The sequence below is a fragment of the Homo sapiens genome, chromosome 6, assembly GCF_000001405.40.
Source record: "Homo sapiens chromosome 6, GRCh38.p14 Primary Assembly".
Lineage (NCBI taxonomy): Eukaryota > Metazoa > Chordata > Mammalia > Primates > Hominidae > Homo > Homo sapiens.
This window is the reverse complement of record NC_000006.12, coordinates 157697800-157715752: the sequence shown is the minus strand read 5'-3', so window position 1 is coordinate 157715752 and position 17953 is coordinate 157697800. Positions and strand designations below refer to the sequence as shown.

Below are 17953 nucleotides of genomic sequence, written 5' to 3'. Positions count from 1 at the left end.
CCCATGGCAAATACACAGAGGAGCCAAAATGCCTACTTTTTAGGCTTTATCTTGATTTTTTTTTCTTTTTATAGGCCACGTATCCCAAATCTTTATAAAAGAGAATAACAAAAACACACACAGATAAAACTGATATCCCTTTTCTTTTTTTTTTCTTTTCTTTACTCTTTTTTTTTTTTTTTTTGAGGCAGGGTCTCACTCTGTCACCCTGGCTAGAGTGCAATGGCGTGATCATTACAGCCTTGATTATAGCAGTGATACATCACTATAGCCTCAATCTCCCCAGCTCAAGCAATCCTCCCACCTCAGCCTCCCAAGGAGCTGGGACTATAGGTGTGTGCCACACCTGGCTAATTCTTTTGATTTTTGGTAGAGACAAGGTCTCACTATGTTTCCCAGGCTGGTCTTGAACTCCTGAGCTCATGTGATCCACCCACCTTGGCCTCCCAAAGTGCTGGGATTACAGGCATGCGTCACTGTGCCCAGCCCAAACTGACATTCTTTATGCCATCAGTATCCAATTAGAAAGAACGCTTAATTCAGAAAAATGTTCTTGATTGTGTCCCTGAGCGTGAGGAAGGCATAGGGAGGGGAAATGTTTATTCACGGCCGCAATTCTTTCAGCCTGGGTAAGGGCGTGGTTCTATGGGACTCTGTGTCCTTCTGGTAGATAGATACCTGCTTCTTCTTCTTCTTTTTTTTTTTTTTAAGAGACGGAGTCTCACTCTGTCGCCCAGGCTGGAGTGCAGTGGCACAATCTCGGCTCACTGCAACCTCTGCCTCCCGGGTTCTAGCAATTCTCCTGCCTCAGCCTCCTGAGTGGGTGGAACTACAGGTGCACACTGCCACTCCCAGCTAATTTTTTGTATTTTAGTAGAGATGGGGTTTCACCATGTTGCCCAGGCTGGTCTCGAACTTCTGAGCCCAGGAAATCCACCTGCCTCAGCCTCCCAAAGTGCTAGGATTACAGGCGTGAGCCACTGTGCCTGGCCAGTACCTGCTTCTTGACCTTGGAATATATATGGTATATATGGAAGGCCACTTCGCCTTGGGATATCCAGTGTGTGGCATCTGTGCCGTTTCTCTCCTCTGCACATGGCAGACATTGTGAATGACACACAGGGCTCTTTCTGGTGTGGCCTCAGAATGCCTCTCAGCCCAATATTCCAGAAAATTACCAACATCCATCAGTGTAGACACAAGGGATAAATTCCCGTGGTCATCCTAGGGCCCAGGCTATCATGTGAGCCTGGATTTACGAGATGTTGGCAGATACCTTAGGGCAGAGAATGAAGAGGACCTGTTCTCTCCTAAAACTCAAAGCATTAACTGCTTCTCACACACTAGTTGACCTGGAAAACAGTTTTAGAAAGAGCAGTTGGTGAAACTGTTTATTGAAGTCACGCATTCCCAATTAGTTAGGCCATTGTCATTCCAAAGATAATACAAGTCAATGAGGTATTGCATTTCTGAGAAAGGAAAATTCACTCAGGCAGGAAGCAGACATCTGTGGTCATTTGGGATGCTGGTTGCTTAGGGCTCCCTCTGGGGACACCTCTGTCTTCTGGCACCTTTGCCAGATTGTGCATGAGCTGGTGGAGCTCCTGGCAGATAGAACATCTCTTCCAGGGCTGAATTCCATAAGCAATAGGGGTAAATGGCTGGGCTAGAGAATGAGAGACAGGGAGAGGCCAGGACACAGCTGATTCCCTGCCCCTCCTGGCAGAGCAGATATCCTGTGTACCACCACAGCTATGGGTGATGACAATGGCCCTTGTCCATGAGCCGCTCCCCTCAGCCTGCCAGGCCACTCCCCAGCTCTGACATTGCATTCCCCGCTGTGGGTGCAAAGAACCTGGACTGACATCCTTTTTTGAGGCACAGGCCAGCTTCGTACAAGGGTCTTTTCTGGTCACACATGCTTCTGCTCAGCCATCAGGTGAAATCAATTCTCTTTAGATTTAAGATTTCCATGATGGTGTTGTGGACACCGTCAGCTGCCTGCCCACCTTCCATCTGCTTCCTCCTTCCTAACAGAACCCTGTCTCAGGGAAGACTCCGATAAGCCTCGCGATCCGTGGACCCAGGCTGCTGGCCAGAGTTCAGCTCGTCAATCCAGGCCAAGCCAGTCAGGGTGCCCCCATCCAGGCAGCTGCCCTCTAAGGGGAATATTCAGGGCGAGAGAGTTTTGACCAGGGTTTCCCCACCATGCCTCACCCTTGCTTCGCTTTTCCTCTCCATGGATGAGCAAGAAGCGGCCACCAGTTAGCCTGTTTCTGGCTTCCATGTTGTGGGTGGCTCCCTGTCCTAGGTGAGAACCTAGGCTCGAGGTCTCAGAGGTGCCATTAGAACCTTATCAACCTGGAGGAGTTAAAGGGACACTTGTGAAGTCCATCAGAGGTTAGGAAGGAAAGCATATGAGAAATGCTCTTTCTCCCAGTCCCTTCCTCCCCCAGTGACCTCAATCATACCTGCTTGCTCTCCAGTGAAGGGACAAACAGAGGGACATCAGGGTGCCGAAAAGTCCCCTCTTCCTGAGGCAAATATGCTGACTGCAAAAGGAAAAACATTGCCTGGCCACCATGCCTGCCTTGCTGGCCTGTTCTATGTCTGTGACCAGGAATTTCAAGGAGGGGATTCTGTGTGTGGGAGGACCCTGTCGTCGCGTACTGGGAGATGCCAGCTCACAGGAGTCATGTTCCCAGGTGTGGTCAGCCCTCTTCCTCTGCACCCTGCAATTCTGCAGCATTCCAAGGACTGGGCTCTAGTTCTCTTCACACCTGCAGCCATCTCCAGGAGAGCTATAAGTGACATCACGATGGCAGAGATAATGGTAACTACTACTTATTAAGAGCTACATATTAATGTTAACCATGTGCTCTGCATGGACCATCTACTCCTTCTGTGATACTGCAGAAAATGTGGTATTGTGCCCAATTTACAGACAAGGAAAACTGAGGCCTATAGATACCCAGACACTCACCCAGGTACACAGAGCAGGAAGGAGAGCTCAACAGCTTCTGGGCCTTTTGGCTAAGATCAAGTCGAGTATCTGTTATCAGTTTAACATCTGATACTTGAAGTGGTGTTGTCATCTCACACCGAGGAAATCAAAGATGCGGACACACAAGAAGTGAGTTTAAGAGTGGAGGTTTAATAGGTGAGAGAAAGAGAAAAGAGAAAAGTGTTCTCTCCTGCAGTGAGAGAGGCTCCCGAGTGGGTCTTCCGGTTTCGTGGTGAAATGCACAGGGTTTTACAGACCAGCTTCAGGAGACGGTGTCTGATTTACACAGGGCCCAAAGATTGGTTGGAGCAGGTGTGCCATTTACATAGCACAAAGCTGGCTGCCCCATCCTAATATTTTATTATGCAGATGGGTTCTCTACCTGGTTGGTGCCATGTGGCCTGTTCCTTTACTACACACATGGTTGACAAAGAAGGGAACATGAAGCCTCCATGTTGAATATGCCTGATCCCCAGGTAGCCTTTTCCTATTGGCACAGCTGCCGGTATTCAAGCGTGCAAGCTTCCAGCTTGCTTTTCTATGTCTGCAGCTTGATGTTTCGGGCTGCTCTTTGTTAGAAAAGAAATGATTTGGGGACGGCTTTTTATTAAAAGGGAAACCTTACCAAGGACTCTCTTACCCTCACTAACTGCCTAAATAATTTCTTTTTTAGCTCCTATATCAATACATCCTCTACTAGAGGACATATATCAAATGAGTTTTTGGAGGAGGGAGATGGGATAGGAGCGTGCTGAGTCTACTTCACACATTGACGTATGTTGCAGTACCTCCAGGATTGAAGCATGCCCTCAGGGGGCCAGTTAAACAAAAAGTAGAGCTTAGATTCCATCAGAGGCTGGTGGATCTGAAAGGGGCACCTCTTTCACTGGGCAGCACTGCCTTACATACACCAGTGCCCATCCTGCCTGCCAGTCCCCCTCCAAGTCCTGCTCTTCCCTGGGGGCCAGCCTGGGCAGTGGGAAAGTGAAGCTGGCATTGATCAGTCTGTTGGCTCCTGGTCTGCTCTCAGATCAAGGGGGTGAGGACAGTGTTTAGGCAACACACGAAACCCTCATTCCCCCTTGGGAACCAAAGGTCTCAACATCATTTTAGAGCTGATGACACAGAAGCCCAGGGATGGAAATGGCTAGTTTTGAGCCTCTCAGGGTAGCAGTGGGACCTTCTGCTCTTAACCTGGGGCCAGTGCTGGCTCTCAGAACAGTCGTCAGATCAGGGCCTGCTTTTCAGGGGATGCGGCCTTTGTCCACCACCCTGCAGGTCCTGGAGGATGAATGTGGCTCTAAGTTAACTGAATGTTGACAACAAAAGGTCTGCAAAATGGGCAGGGCAACGCCTTGGGGACCCTAAGGAGATGGTCCCCGCAGATGCTGTTGGGGCCTAATGTTTTCTGAATCCTTTTTAGGGTCACGTGCAGTATAGAGCTGGCTCATCTACGCCTCTGCCACAGCAACCCTGGGAGGCGAATCTTGGCATGGAAAAAGTGAGGCTCAGGAAGATTGCGTGACTTACCCAAGGTCACGTGGCCTGTAGGCAACTGAACCAGTCCTTGAATTCAGAGCTGCCTGAATCAAGCTCCCACATTTTCAACATGTGACCACACTCCTCCAAGCTGAGGGCGTTTCTGCTTGCAAACTGGTGTTTTTCTGGAAGAACAAAGAAGGCCATCCCAGAAAAATCTGCCTAATAATGAAAAAACCACCCTTTCCATATAGGTAAGCCCAGGGACCAGGTGTCTGGACCTGTGAGGTGAGTGTGACTCCGGGGAGGAGAGGAGCATAGCCAGGCTGCCTCACCGGCCTGCCCTAGGCAGCGGCCCCCGAGTGGATCCACACAAACTGCAAGGACTTTTGGAATGGACTGAATTGTGTCCCCCCCAGAATTCACAGGTTGAAGCCCTGCCCACCAGTGTGACTGCATTAGGAAATGGCCTGTAAGGAGGTAATGAAGGTTAAACGAGGCCAGGCCGGGAGCAGTGACTCATGCCTGTAATTCCAGCACTTTGGGAGGCTGAGGCGGGTGAATTACTTGAGGTCAGGAGATCAAGACCATCCTAGCCAACATGGTGAAACCCCATCTCTACTAAAAGTACAAAAATTAGCTGGGCATGGTGGTATGGGTGCCTGTAGTCCCAGCTACTTGGGAGGCTGAGGCAGGAGAATCACTTGAACCCAGGAGGCGGAGGTTGCAGTGAACTGAGATCGTGCCACTACACTCCAGCCTTGGCGACAGAGTGAAACTCCATCTCTCTCTCTCTCTCTCACACACACACACACACACACACACACACACAAATGTTTAAAAGAGGTCCTAAGGACGAGGCCTTAATTCACTGGATTGGTGTTCTTAGAAGTAGGGGAAGAGACAGCAGAGCTCACTCTCTGCAGGTGCACAGAGAAAAGGCCGCATGAGGACACAGCAAGAAGGTGGCCATGTACACACTAGAAATGTAACAGGAAAGGGGTCCCGATCCGGACCCAAAGAGAGGGTTCCTGGATCTTGCACAAGAAAGAATTCAGGGCGAGTCCATAGAGTAAAGTGAAAGCAAGTTTATTAGGAAAGTAAAGGAATAAAGAACGGCTACTCCATAGGCAGAGCAGACCCGAGGGCTGCTGGTTGCCCATTTTTATGGTTATTTCTTCAAGATGTGCTAAATAAGGGGTGGATTATTCGTGCCTCCCCTTTTTAGACCACGTAGGGTAACTTCCTGATGTTGCCATGGCATTTGTAAACTGTCAGGGTGCCTGTGGGAGTGTAGCAGTGAGGACGACCAGAGGTCACTCTCGTGGCCATCTTGGTCTTGGTGGGATTTAGCCGGCTTCGTCACTGCAACCTGTTTTATCAGCAAGGTATTTATGACCTGTATCTTGTGCCGACCTCCTGTCACATCCTGTGACTTAGAATGCCTTCACTGTCTGGGAATGCAGCCCAGTAGGTCTCTGCCTCATTTTACCTAGCTCCTACTCAAGACGGAGTTGCTCTGGTTCACACGCCTATGACAAAACGGCAAGGACTTTTGGAATGGACTGAATTGTGTCCCCCCTCCCCCACAAATTCATAGGTTGAAGCCCAACCCCCCAGTGTGACAGTATTTGGAAATAGGGCCTATAAAAAGGTAATTAAGGTTAAGTGAGGCCCTAAAAATGAGGCCTTAATCCACTGAACTGGTGTCCTTAGAAGAAGAGAAAGAGGCTGGGGGCAATGGCTCATGCCTGTAATCCCAGCACTTTGGAAGGCTGAGGCAGGCAGATCATGAGGTCAGGAGATGGAGACTATCCTGGCTAACACAGTGAAACCCTGTCTCTACTAAAAATACAAAAATTAGCTGGGCATGGTGGTGCGTGCCTGTAGTCCCAGCTACTCGGGAGGCTGAAGCAGGAGAATTGCTTGACTCTGGAAGGCAGAGGTTGCAGTGAGCCGAGATCCTGTCACTGCCCTCCAGCCTGGTGACAGAGTAAGACTCCGTCTCAAAAAAAAAAAAAAAAAAAAAGGGAAAGAGACACCGGAGCACGCTCTCTCTCTCTCTCTGTCTCTCTCTCTGCAGGTGCACAGAGAAAAGGCTGAGTGAGGACACAGCAAGAAGGCGGCCCTGCGCACACCAGGAAGAGAGGCCTCACCTGAAACCAACCCTGAGGGCACCTGTAGGGCCTGCAGACCTGTAAAAAGACCAATGTCTGTTTAAGCCACCCAGCTTGTGGCATTTTGTTATGCAGTCTGAGCATATTAATATGGTTTTTTTTTTTCAGAGATCCTCAAAGCTCGCATTCCAACATAACACAGGAGTGAAAGCACAAGCTTTGAAGTCAGAAAGGACTAAGTTCTCAACCTGGCTTCCCATTCAGCAGGACCTTGGCTTTCATCTCTAGGATCCTGTTTCATAAGATTGATATGAAAATTAACTGAAGCAATGCATAGGAAATGCTTGTCGTGGTATGTGGAACATGTAAGGATATTACTATTATCCTTATTGTAATTGCCTTTGCAAAAAATTATATCATTGAGAAAATTATGGCTCTGGAGGAGATCTGATCTGGCCAATCCCCCTTTCGCCTTTAGTCTTCAACTGCCCTTAATTATTCCTGGGCTTAGGCTAAGCTAACTTTGGGAGATGTTTAGTTTATAGTTTAAATGATAATAGCCTTTCCCCCAAATTGAACCTCCTTTGTAAAGCTAATGAGAGACCACCAGGCTAGGAGGATAGAGGAACCTGAATTTGGCTAAGGTGGAGACATAAACAATTGCCAGCCATTACTCCGGAGGTCACAAGATATGCAACTTCCACAGTTATTCCTGCAGATAACATCACTACTGTAGAACGTTAAGATTGGCCTTTTGAGATGTCTTTTCAGGTTTTCTGCATGTCTCACACTGATAATGGCTCCACCTGGATCCCCCAAGTGTTCCTGTGGCCCTACCCAGAAGCGACTCAGCTCAGGAGGACCATTTCCCACACCCCTCTGATTGCACCCCCAACCAATTGGCAGCAAGCACCCATTGCCTAGCCACCCCCACCCCTTTCCGCAAACTACCTTCGAAAAACCCTAGCCCCTGAATTCTTGGGAAGACTGATTTGGGTAATAGTAAGAGTCCAGTCTCCCGTTCAGCTGGCTCTGTGTGAATTAAACTCTTTCTCCATTGCAATTCCCCTGCCTTAATAAATCGGCTCTACCTGGGCAGCAGGCAAGAAAAGCCCATTGGGTGGTTACATTATGAGGTTATCTTTACTCTTATGGAGCTGGCAGATGGTACTTGGGTTCAACTGCTCTGAGTTTTTCTAGCTGTGGTCCATTGTTCCAAAGCACACATCCTGACTCTAGGGTGTCACTGGGGTCTGTTACAGGTAGTTAGGCCTGAGCAGGGCAGGAGAGGGCTCTCCCCTACCCACCAGGAATGTCAGGTGATGGTGTCAGGTGATGGTGTGACAATGGTCACACTGCCCTTCTAAAAGTGATTATTCAGCAGCCAGCGCCAGGGCGAGACAATCTCCTGAAGATCCAGGGCTGTTAACATTAAAGAGTTAATTTAATGCAGATGCCAGGGAGAAGCAAAAAGGACTTCCAATAAAGTCTCAGTTATTGGGCTAGTGAGCTCAGGCATGCGCGTTAAGCGACAAAATGGTGGAGTATGACTTTCTGGGGGCCTCCACCGGAAAAGGGAGCATGCCGCATACAACGTCGTAAACCCACTGCTCATGCTCACTTCCCAGGCGTCAGGACCCCTCTGTAGATGTGGGCAGCCCACCCTAAGGGAAGAATTATGGGAAAGGGCTGCAAGATACCAGAGGTGGGCCAGGCTATAAAGTCCTAGGATCAAGTTTAAATGCCACATTCGTTCTTCAAGTTGCCCACTTGAGACTCTTCCAAGTAAGTGTACTTTCCTTTCTTTCCTGCTCTCTCCTGCTCTGAAACTTGCCTCGGTCTCTTTTTCTGCCTTGTGCCCCTAAGTCCAATTTCTTTCTTCTGAGGAGGCAAGAATTGAGGTTGGTGCAGACCCGTATGGATTCACTGCTAGTAACTTGGACACCTTCCACCAGTAACAGGGTGAGTCCATTGGGTTTCGTGGCCTATTTTTAGCATACTACAAGTTTGTGAAGTGTCACCCATCAGGCTGCAATGATGCTACACAGGCTAACCAATACATCATGTTCCTTTGCTTTTGACTAGAATTAAACAGAGACACCATGGAAACACTGCTTATCTCTAATGACCAGAAGCTGAGATCATTGGGTATTCATGTCCTTGATTTATGAGAAAATTGGAGCATAAAATACCTATTATCTCATCATAGATCCTACAGGACCCATGGGGAGAAAAGGAAGAAAGGCAGTCCTATATAAACCAAAAATACAATTCAAAGTTCCCCCCTCCCCACTTCAAGTTGTCCCACCCAGATCGAACCAATGTCAATCTTACATGTATTGATTGATGTATTATGTCTCCCTAAAACGTATAAAAGCAAGCTGTACCCCGACCCCCTTGGGCTCATGTTGTCAGGCCCTCCTGAGGCTGTGTCACGGGCATGTCCTTAACCTTTGGCAAAATAAACTTTCTCAATTGAGTGAGACCCATCTCTGGTATTTTGGGTTCACACCAAGTAGGTGAAAAGGTCAGTAGTGGCTGAAATTGCTGCAGTAGTTTTGGGTATTTTTTATCAGGCCTCTGAGCCTGAGCCAAGCCATCGCATCCTCTCTGACTTGCACATATATGCCCAGATGGCCTGAAGTAACTGAAGAATCACAGAAGAAGTGAAAATGCCCTGCTCCGCCTTAACTGACGACATTCCACCACAAAAGAAGTGTAAATGGCCGGTCCTTGCCTTAACTGATGACATTCCACCACAAAAGAAGTGAAAATGGCCGGTCCTTGCCTTAACTGATGACATTACCTTGTGAAAGTCCTTTTCCTATCCTGGCTCAAAAAGCTCCCCCACTGAGCACCTTGTGACCCCCACTCCTGCGTGCCAGAGAACAAACCCCCTTTGACCGTAATTTTCCTTTACCTACCCAAATCTTATAAAACGGCCCCACCCCTATCTCCCTTCACTGACTCTCTTTTCGGACTCAGCCCACCTGCACCCAGGTGAAATAAACAGCCATGTTGCTCACACAAAGCCTGTTTGGTGGTCCCTTCACATGGACGCGCATGAAATTTGGTGCGTGACTCGGATCAGGGGACCTCCCTTAGGAGATCAATCCCCTGTCCTCCTGCTCTTTGCTCCATGAGAAAGATCCACCTACGACCTCAGGTCCTCAGACCAACCAGCCCAAGAAACATCTCACCAATTTCAAATCCGGTAAGCAGCCTCTTTTTACTCTCTTCTCCAACCTCCCTCACTATCCCTCCACCTCTTTCTCCTTTCAATCTTGGTGCCACACTTCAATCTCTCCCTTCTTTTAATTTCAATTCCTTTCATTTTCTGGTAGAGACAAAGGAGACACGTTTTATCTGTGGATCCAAAACTCTGGTGCCAGTCACGGACTGGGAAGGCAGGCTTCCCTTGGTGTTTAATCATTGCAGGGACGCCTCTCTAATTATTCACCCATGTTTCAGAGGTGTCAGACCACGCAAGGACACCTGCCTTGGTCCTTCACCCTTAGTGGCAAGTCCCACTTTTCTGGGGGAGGGGCAAGTACCCCAACCCCTTCTCTCCGTGTCTCTACCCCTTCTCTGCCTTTCTAGGGGGCAAGAAACCCTCAACCCCTTCTCCTTCACTCTTAGTGGCAAGTCCCATTTTTCTAGGGGAAGGGCAAGTACCCCAACCCCTTCTCTCCGTGTCTCTACCCCTTCTCCGCCTTTCTGGGAGGCAAGAAACCCCCAACCCCTTCTCCTTCACCCTTAGCAGCAAGTCCCACTTTTCTAGGGGAAGGGCAAGTACCCCAACCTCGTGTCTCTGTGCCCCGATCCCTTATTTCCATGCCCCAGCCTCTTATATCTCTGTGCCCTGATCCCTTATTTCCACGCCCCCGACCTCGTATCTCTGCGCCCTGACCCCTTTCCTGCTTTTCTGGAGGGTAAGAACCCCCGAACCGCTTCCCTCTGTGTCTCTACTCTTCCTTTTCTTTAAACTTGCCTCTTTCACTATAGGCAACCTTCCACCCTCCATTCCTCCTTCTTCTCCCTTAGCCTGTGTTCTTTAAGAACATAAAACCTCTTCAACTCTCACCTGACCTAAAACCTAAATGCCTTATTTTCTTCTACAATGCCACCTGACCCCAATACAAACTCGACAGTGGTTCTAAATGGCCAGAAAATGGCACTTTCGATTTCTCCATCCTGCAAGACCTAAATAATTTTTGTTGAAAAATAAGAAAATGGTCTGAGGGGCCTGACATCCAGGCACTGTTTTACACATCAGTCCCTCCCTAGTCTCTGTTCGCAATGCAACTAGTCCCAAATCTTCCTTCTTTCCCTCCCGCCTGTCCCCTCAGTCCCAACCACAAGCGTCGCTGAGTCTTTCTAATCTTCCTTTTCTACAGACCCATCTGACCTCTCCCCTCCTTGCCAGGCCGAGCTAGGTCCCAATTCTTCCTCAGCCTCTGCTCCTCCACCCTATAATCCTTTTATCACCTCCCCTCCTCACACCTGGTCCAGTTTACAGTTTCATTCCGTGACTAGCCCTCCCCGACCTGCCCAGCAATTTCCTCTTAAAAAGGTGGCTGGAGCTAAAGGCATAGTCAAAGTTAATTCTCCTTTTTCTTTATCTGACCTCTCCCAAATCAGTTAGCGTTTAGACTCTTTTTCATCAAATATAAAAAATCCAGCCCAGTTCATGGCTCGTTTGGCAGCAAACCTGAGACACTTTATAGCCCTAGACCCTAAAAGGTCAAAAGGCCATCTTATTCTCAATATACATTTTATTACCCCATCTGCTCCTGACATTAAATAAAACTCCAAAAATTAAATTCCGGCCCTCAAACCCCACAACAGGACTTAATTAACCTCATCTTCAAGGTGTACAATAATAGAGTAGAGGCAGCCAAGCAGCAACATATTTCTAAGTTGCAATTCTTTGCTTCCACTGTGAGACAAACCCCAGCCACATCTCCAGCACACAAGAACTCCAAACACCTGAACCGCAGCTGCCAGGGGTTCCTCCAGAACCTCCTCCCCCAGGAGGTTGCTACAAGTGCTGGAAATCTGGCCACTAGGCCAAGGAATGCACACAGCCCAGGATTCCTCCTAAGCCGTGTCCCATCTGTGCAGGACCCCACTGAAAATTGGACTGTTCAACTCACCTGGCAGCCACTTCTAGAGCCCCTGGAACTCTGGCCCAAGGCTCTCTGAATGACTCCTTCCCAGATCTTCTCGGCTTAGCAGCTGAAGACTGACACTGCCCGATCGCCTCGGAAGCCTGCAGGACCATCACAGACGCTCTAGGTAACTCTCACAGTGGAGGGTAAGTCCGTCCCCTTCTTAATACGGAGGCTACTCACTCCACGTTACCTTCTTTTCAAGGGCCTGTTTCCCTTGCCTCCATAACTGTTGTGCATATTGACAGCCAGGCTTCTAAACCTCTTAAAACTCCCCAACTCTGGTGCCAATTTAGACAATACTCTTTTAAGCACTCCTTTTTAGTTATCCCCACCTGCCCAGTTACCTTATTAGGCCGAGACACTTTAACTAAATTATCTGCTTCCCTGACTGTTCCTAGGCTACAGCCACACCTCACTGCCGCCTTTTCCCCCAGTTCAAAGCCTCCTTCATATCCTCCCCTTGTATCTCCCCACCTTAACCCACAAGTATAAGACACCTCTACTCCCTCCTTAGCGACCGATCATGCACCCCTTACCATCCCATTAAAACCTAATCACTCTCACCCCACTCAATGCTAATATCCCATCCCACAGCATGCTTTGAAAAGATTAAAGCCTGTTATCACTCGCCTGCTACAGCATGGCCTTTTAAAGCCTATGAACTCTTCTTACCATTCCTCCATTTTACCTGTCCTAAAACCAGACAAGGCTTACAGGTTAGTTCAGAATCTGCGCCTTATCAACCAAATTGTTTTGCCTATCCATCCCATGGTGTCAAACCCATATACTCTCCTATCCTCAATACCTCCCTCTACAACCCATTATTCTGTTCTAGATCTCAAACATGCTTTCTTTACTATTCCTTTGCGCCCTTCATCCCAGCCTCTCTTTGCTTTCACTTAGACTGACCCTGACATGCATTAGGCTCAGCAAATTACCTGGGCTGTACTGCCGCAAGGCTTCAAAGACAGACCCCATTACTTCAGTCAAGCCCAAATTTCATCCTCATCTGTTACCTATCTCGGCATAATTCTCATAAAAACACATGTGCTCTCCCTGCTGATCGTGTCCAATTAATCTCCCAAACCTCAATCCCTTACAAAATAACAACTCCTTTCCTTCCTAGGCATAGTTAGTGCGGTCAGAATTCTTACACAAGAGCCAGGACCGCACCCTGTAGCCTTTCTGTCCAAACAACTTGACCTTACTGTTTTAGCCTAGCCATCATGTCTCCGTGCAGCGGCTGCTGCCGCCCTAATACTTTTAGAGGCCCTCAAAATCACAAACTATGCTCAACCCACTCTCTACATTTCTCATAACTTCCAAAATCTATTTTCTTCCTCATACCTGACGCACATACTTTCTGCTCCCCGGCTCCTTCAGCTGTACTCACTCTTTGTTAAGTCCCACAATTACCATTGTTCCTGGCCCAGACTTCAATCTGGCCTCCCACATTATTCCTGATACCACACCTGACCTCCATGACTGTATCTCTCTGATCCACCTGACATTCACCCCGTTTCCCCATATTTCCTTCTTTCCTGTTCCTCACCCTGATCACGCTTGATTTATTGATGGCAGTTCCACCAGGCCTAATCGCCACACACCAGCAAAGGCAGGCTATGCTAGAGTACAAGCCACTAGCCCGCCTCTTAGAACCTCTCATTTCCTTTCCATCGTAGAAATCTATCCTCAAGGAAATAACTTCTCAGTGTTCCATCTGCTATTCTACTACTCCTCAGGGATTATTCAGGCCCCCTCCCTTCCCTACACATCAAGCTCGAGGATTTGCCCCCACCCAGGACTGGCAAATTGGCTTTACTCAACATGCCCCAAGTCAGATAACTAAAATATCTCTTAGTCTAGGTAGACGCTTTCACTGGATAGGTAAAGGCCTTTCCTACAGGGTCTGGGATGGCCACCGCAGTCATTTCTTCCCTTCTGTCAGACATAATTCCTCAGTTTAGCCTTCCCACCTCTACACAGTCTGATAACAGACCAGCCTTTATTAGTCAAATCAGCCAAGCAGTTTTTCAGGCTCTTAGTATTCAGTGAAACCTTTATATCCCTTACAGTCCTCAGTCTTCAGGAAAAGTAGAACAGACTAATAGTCTTTTAAAAACACACCTCACCAAGCTCAGCCACCAACTTAAAAAGGACTGGACAATACTTTTACCACTTTCCCTTCTCAGAAGTCAGACCTGTCCTCAGAATGCTACAGGGTACAGCGCATTTGAGCTCCTGTATAGATGCTCCTTTTTATTAGGCCCCAGTCTCATTCCAGACACCAGACCAACTTAGACTGTGCCCCAAAAAAACTTGTCATCCCTACTATCTTCCGTCTAGTCATACTCCTATTCACCATTCTGAACTACTCATACATGCCCTGCTCTTGTTTACACGGCCGGTTTACACTGTTTCTCCAAGCCATCACAGCTGATATCTCCTGGTGCTATCCCCAAACTGCCACTCTTAACTCTTGAAGTAAATCAATAATCTTTGCTGGCAGGACTATGCTGAATCTTCTTAGGCACTCTCTAATCAGATGTCCTAGGTCCTCCCAATTCTTAGTCCTTTAATACCTGTTTTTCTCCTTCTCTTATTCCATTTAGTTTTTCAATTCATAGAAAACCATATCCAGGCCATCACCAATCATTCTACACGACAAATGTTTCTTCTAACAACCCCACAATATCACCCCTTACCACAAAATCTTCCTTCAGCTTAATCTCTCCCACTCTAGGTTCCCACGCTGCCCCTAATCCCGCTCGAAGCAGCCCTGAGAAACGTTGCCCATTATCTCTCCATGCCACCCCCCAAAAATTTTCGTTGCCCCCACACTTCAACACTATTTTTATTTTTCTTATTAATATAAGAAGGCAGGAATGTCAGGCCTCTGAGCCCAAGCCAAGCCATCACATCCCCTGTGACTTGCACGTATACACCCAGATGGCCTGAAGTAACTGAAGAACCACAAAAGAAGTGAAAATGCCCTGCCCCACCTTAACTGATGACATTCCACCACAAAAGAAGTGAAAATGGCCGGTCCTTGCCTTAAGTGATGACATTACCTTGTGAAAGTCCTTTTCCTGGCTCATCCTGGCTCAAAAAGCTCCCCCAGTGAGCACCTTGAGACCCCCACTCCTGCCCGCCAGAGAACAAACCCCCTTTGACTGTAATTTTCCTTTACCTACCCAACTCTTATAAAACGGCTGCACCCCTATCTCCCTTCGTTGACTCTCTTTTCGGACTCAGCCCGCCTGCACCCAGGTGAAATAAACAGCCATGTTGCTCACACAAAGCCTGTTTGGTGGTCTCTTCACATGGACGCGCGTGAAATTTTTCTCCTAGAAATTTTATAGCAATAATACACTATAGTGTTCAAGACCTGCTTGCTTTTTAATTATCTATGGCTGAAGCATGCACTATTCTTCTGCTACTCCGTGCTGATTTGCCTAAAACTAAGGCATGTAGAGCAGCTGTGAAGGCCGTGAAGGCATTCCTCACCTGCCATCACGGGTCTGGGCATCGGCTCCACACCTGGTCAGTATGTGGTCCTCGCACTGCCGGGTGGCAGCGCAGAGTCAGAGGTGTCTTTAGTGATAGGTGTTGCCTTTTATGTGCAGGGCATAATGGAGTCCTCCTGGGATGTCTCTTGATTAACCAGATTTGTCACATTCAATAGCCCCAGGAAAGGCTCTGTCCTGGATGCCTGCAGGGCTCCGTGTCACGGGGAGGAGAGGAGCCGTTTCTACCCTGTTTCTCTGATGCTTCAGCATCCAGGGTCTCACTGACCCTGGGGCCAATTCCTGGAGACAGTAAACAACTCACCCAGGGTGTGCCTTTCTTATTCAAAGGAACTCATCCAGCACCCGCACCCCAACCACCTCTTCCATTGGCCCTCACACTCCAGGCCACCATCCACCTGCCCTTATCTCAGGGCCAGATGCCAGACAGCTAGGGACAGCCCCTATGCCCACAGCATGCTGAAATTATTCACTGTCCATCCCTCAGCCCGCTGCCGCTGCCTGGCCCACGCCTTCCTACAGAAGGCGCAGTGAAGGTTCTTGTTCACACCTCACCCACCCACTCCCATGCATTTCGACCAACCTAGTGCATCCCTGTGTGGCCCTGCCCAGTGTGCCCTGTCTCCTGTGTAAACCAAAAATAAAAAGCCCCACAACCGACTAAATGGATTTTTATAGAGACAGGGTCTCACTATTTTGCCCAGGCTGGTTTCAAACTCCCGGGCTCAAGCAATCCTGCCTCAGCCTCCTAAAGTGCTGGGATTACAGGTGTGAGCCACTGTACCCGACCTCTTTGATATATTTTGAAATGGCCCTGCAAAGCTACCTCTTGCAGGGAAAATCTATACTCTCTAGAGAATCCCCTTCCCTTTCTAGGTCTCTTCCTGATCCAGGAGAGGTTAAGAATCTGGTAGCTTTTTAGGTTTGATAAGAGACATTTACCATCTATTCTCTCTGAAGCCTGCTACCTGGAAGCTTCAACTACATAATAAGAACCTTGGTCTCTACAACCCCTCTTTTAACCCAGAGACTCCCTTCTATTGATTCCAATTCTTTAGATAATAACTTAACTCTTTCTGAAACCGCCTTTGCAAAATTATAACTGAGGAAATTATGACAGTGAAAGAAATCAGACCTAACCGACTCCATCTTGCTTCTAACCTTTAAGCTGTTTTTGTTTATTGCTGGACATAGACCAACTTTGGGAAGACATAGACTAACTTTGGGAAGGAATTCAGTTCATGGTTTGACTCTGAAACAAAATTGATAACAGCCCTTTCCTGAAAAGACCCCCTTCTTGTCTGGGGACCAGTCTGCCTTTGCAGGACTAACAAATTAGGTACAAGATAGAAATTATAGTTTAGGGGTCATGCAGCTTCTGGCTCCAAGAGTCTGAATCTCCCCAAATCGCTCCTGGGGATATCACTATTGTAAAACCTAAGATCAGTGCGTGAGATATTTTGCAGACCCTGCACTCGATGGATGAGCTGACACCACCCAGACCAGTAATGTGGCTCAACCAGTTCTGCCATCCCACCCAGGAACAGAAAATGGCAAGAAAAACTCACTTCAACTCCCTATGATTCCATCTCCCACCTGACCAATCAGCACTCCCCACTTCCCAAGCCTTTGCCTGCCAAATTATCTTTAAAAACTCTGATCCCCAAATGCTCAGAGACTGATTTGAGTAATAATAAAACTCTAGTCTCCTGCACAGCTGGCTCTGCATGAATTACTCTTTCTCTATTGCAATTCCCCTGTCTTAATAAATTGGCTCTGTCTAGGCAGCAGGCAAGACGAACCTATTGGGAAGTTACATTTCAACCAACTGTCAATCAGAAAATCTTGGAATCCACCTGGAAGTCCTCCTCACCCCGCACTGTGACTGCCTCAAGTTGTCCCACCTTCCTGGACCAAACTACCACTCTACACCTTACACGTATTGATTGATGGCTGGGTTTAACTTCTGTCCCCCTAAAATGCATAAAACCAAGCTGTAACCCAACCACCTTGGGCACATGTTCTCAGGACCTCTTGAGACTGTGCCTTGGGCCTTAGTCACTCATATTTGGCTCAGAATAACTCTCTTTATTATTATTTTTTTTCTCGAGACAGAGTCTCACTGTGTCACCCAGGCCGGAGTGCAGTGGCGCTATCTCGGCTCACTGCAAGCTCCGCCTCCCGGGTTCATGCCATTCTCCTGCCTCAGCCTCCTGTGTAGCTGGGATTACAGGTGCCTGCCACCATGCCTGGCTAATGTTTTGTATTTTTAGTAGAGACGGGGTTTCACCATATTAGCCAGGATGGTCTTGATTTCCTGACCTCGTGATCTGCCCGCCTCGGCCTCCCAAAGTGCTGGGATTACAGACGTGAGCCACCGCGCCCGGCCGGCTCAGAATAACTCTCCTTAAATATTTACAGAGTTTGACTCTTTTTATCGACACCTGCTTCCAGGGAATTGTGAGTAAACACTTCTTCATCCATGACAGTCATTTTTATATCTGCATGTCTTACCATACCTGATTTTTCAAAAATCCTGAGGACCCTTAAAACAAACCTCCAGGAGCTCCAAAGTTCAGTTCAGACATGCCAGTCCTTGGCCAGGCTATGCAGGGTCCACGCAGCCTCTGCTTGCAGATTCCAGATGGCAGC

General features: G+C 48.0%; 1 long non-coding RNA gene and 1 pseudogene across 1 annotated transcript, besides 6 other annotated features; one reads left to right on the top strand and one right to left on the bottom strand.

The window, feature by feature from the left end:
* Window positions 1-1363: 1363 nt before the first annotated feature.
* Window positions 1364-15366, bottom strand: LOC107986663 (uncharacterized). Its single transcript, XR_001744427.2, has 3 exons — window positions 15282-15366; window positions 2472-4668; window positions 1364-2361 (listed from the first exon to the last, which is right to left on the bottom strand). It is a non-coding gene; the product is annotated as an uncharacterized LOC107986663 (long non-coding RNA).
* Window positions 1587-2086: an enhancer, noted in NCBI's record as "H3K4me1 hESC enhancer chr6:158134699-158135198 (GRCh37/hg19 assembly coordinates)". NCBI's record gives its function as "activates a minimal SCP1, AML or CMV promoter by ChIP-STARR-seq in naive H9 embryonic stem cells {active_cell/tissue: H9 hESC(naive)}" and the evidence as "EXISTENCE:reporter gene assay evidence [ECO:0000049][PMID:30033119]".
* Window positions 2087-2588: an enhancer, noted in NCBI's record as "H3K4me1 hESC enhancer chr6:158134197-158134698 (GRCh37/hg19 assembly coordinates)". NCBI's record gives its function as "activates a minimal SCP1, AML or CMV promoter by ChIP-STARR-seq in naive H9 embryonic stem cells {active_cell/tissue: H9 hESC(naive)}" and the evidence as "EXISTENCE:reporter gene assay evidence [ECO:0000049][PMID:30033119]".
* Window positions 3014-3115, top strand: LOC124901555 (uncharacterized; annotated as a pseudogene).
* Window positions 3520-4125: an enhancer, noted in NCBI's record as "H3K27ac-H3K4me1 hESC enhancer chr6:158132660-158133265 (GRCh37/hg19 assembly coordinates)". NCBI's record gives its function as "activates a minimal SCP1, AML or CMV promoter by ChIP-STARR-seq in primed H9 embryonic stem cells {active_cell/tissue: H9 hESC(primed)}" and the evidence as "EXISTENCE:reporter gene assay evidence [ECO:0000049][PMID:30033119]".
* Window positions 3520-5155: a biological region, named in NCBI's record as "BRD4-independent group 4 enhancer GRCh37_chr6:158131630-158132829".
* Window positions 3956-5155: an enhancer, noted in NCBI's record as "BRD4-independent group 4 enhancer chr6:158131630-158132829 (GRCh37/hg19 assembly coordinates)". NCBI's record gives its function as "activates an origin of replication core promoter dependent on BRD2, P300/CBP, MED14 and CDK7 cofactors, and independent of BRD4, by STARR-seq in HCT116 cells {active_cell/tissue: HCT116}" and the evidence as "EXISTENCE:reporter gene assay evidence [ECO:0000049][PMID:35650434]".
* Window positions 9070-9635: an enhancer, noted in NCBI's record as "NANOG hESC enhancer chr6:158127150-158127715 (GRCh37/hg19 assembly coordinates)". NCBI's record gives its function as "activates a minimal SCP1, AML or CMV promoter by ChIP-STARR-seq in naive H9 embryonic stem cells {active_cell/tissue: H9 hESC(naive)}" and the evidence as "EXISTENCE:reporter gene assay evidence [ECO:0000049][PMID:30033119]".
* Window positions 15367-17953: the final 2587 nt, after the last annotated feature.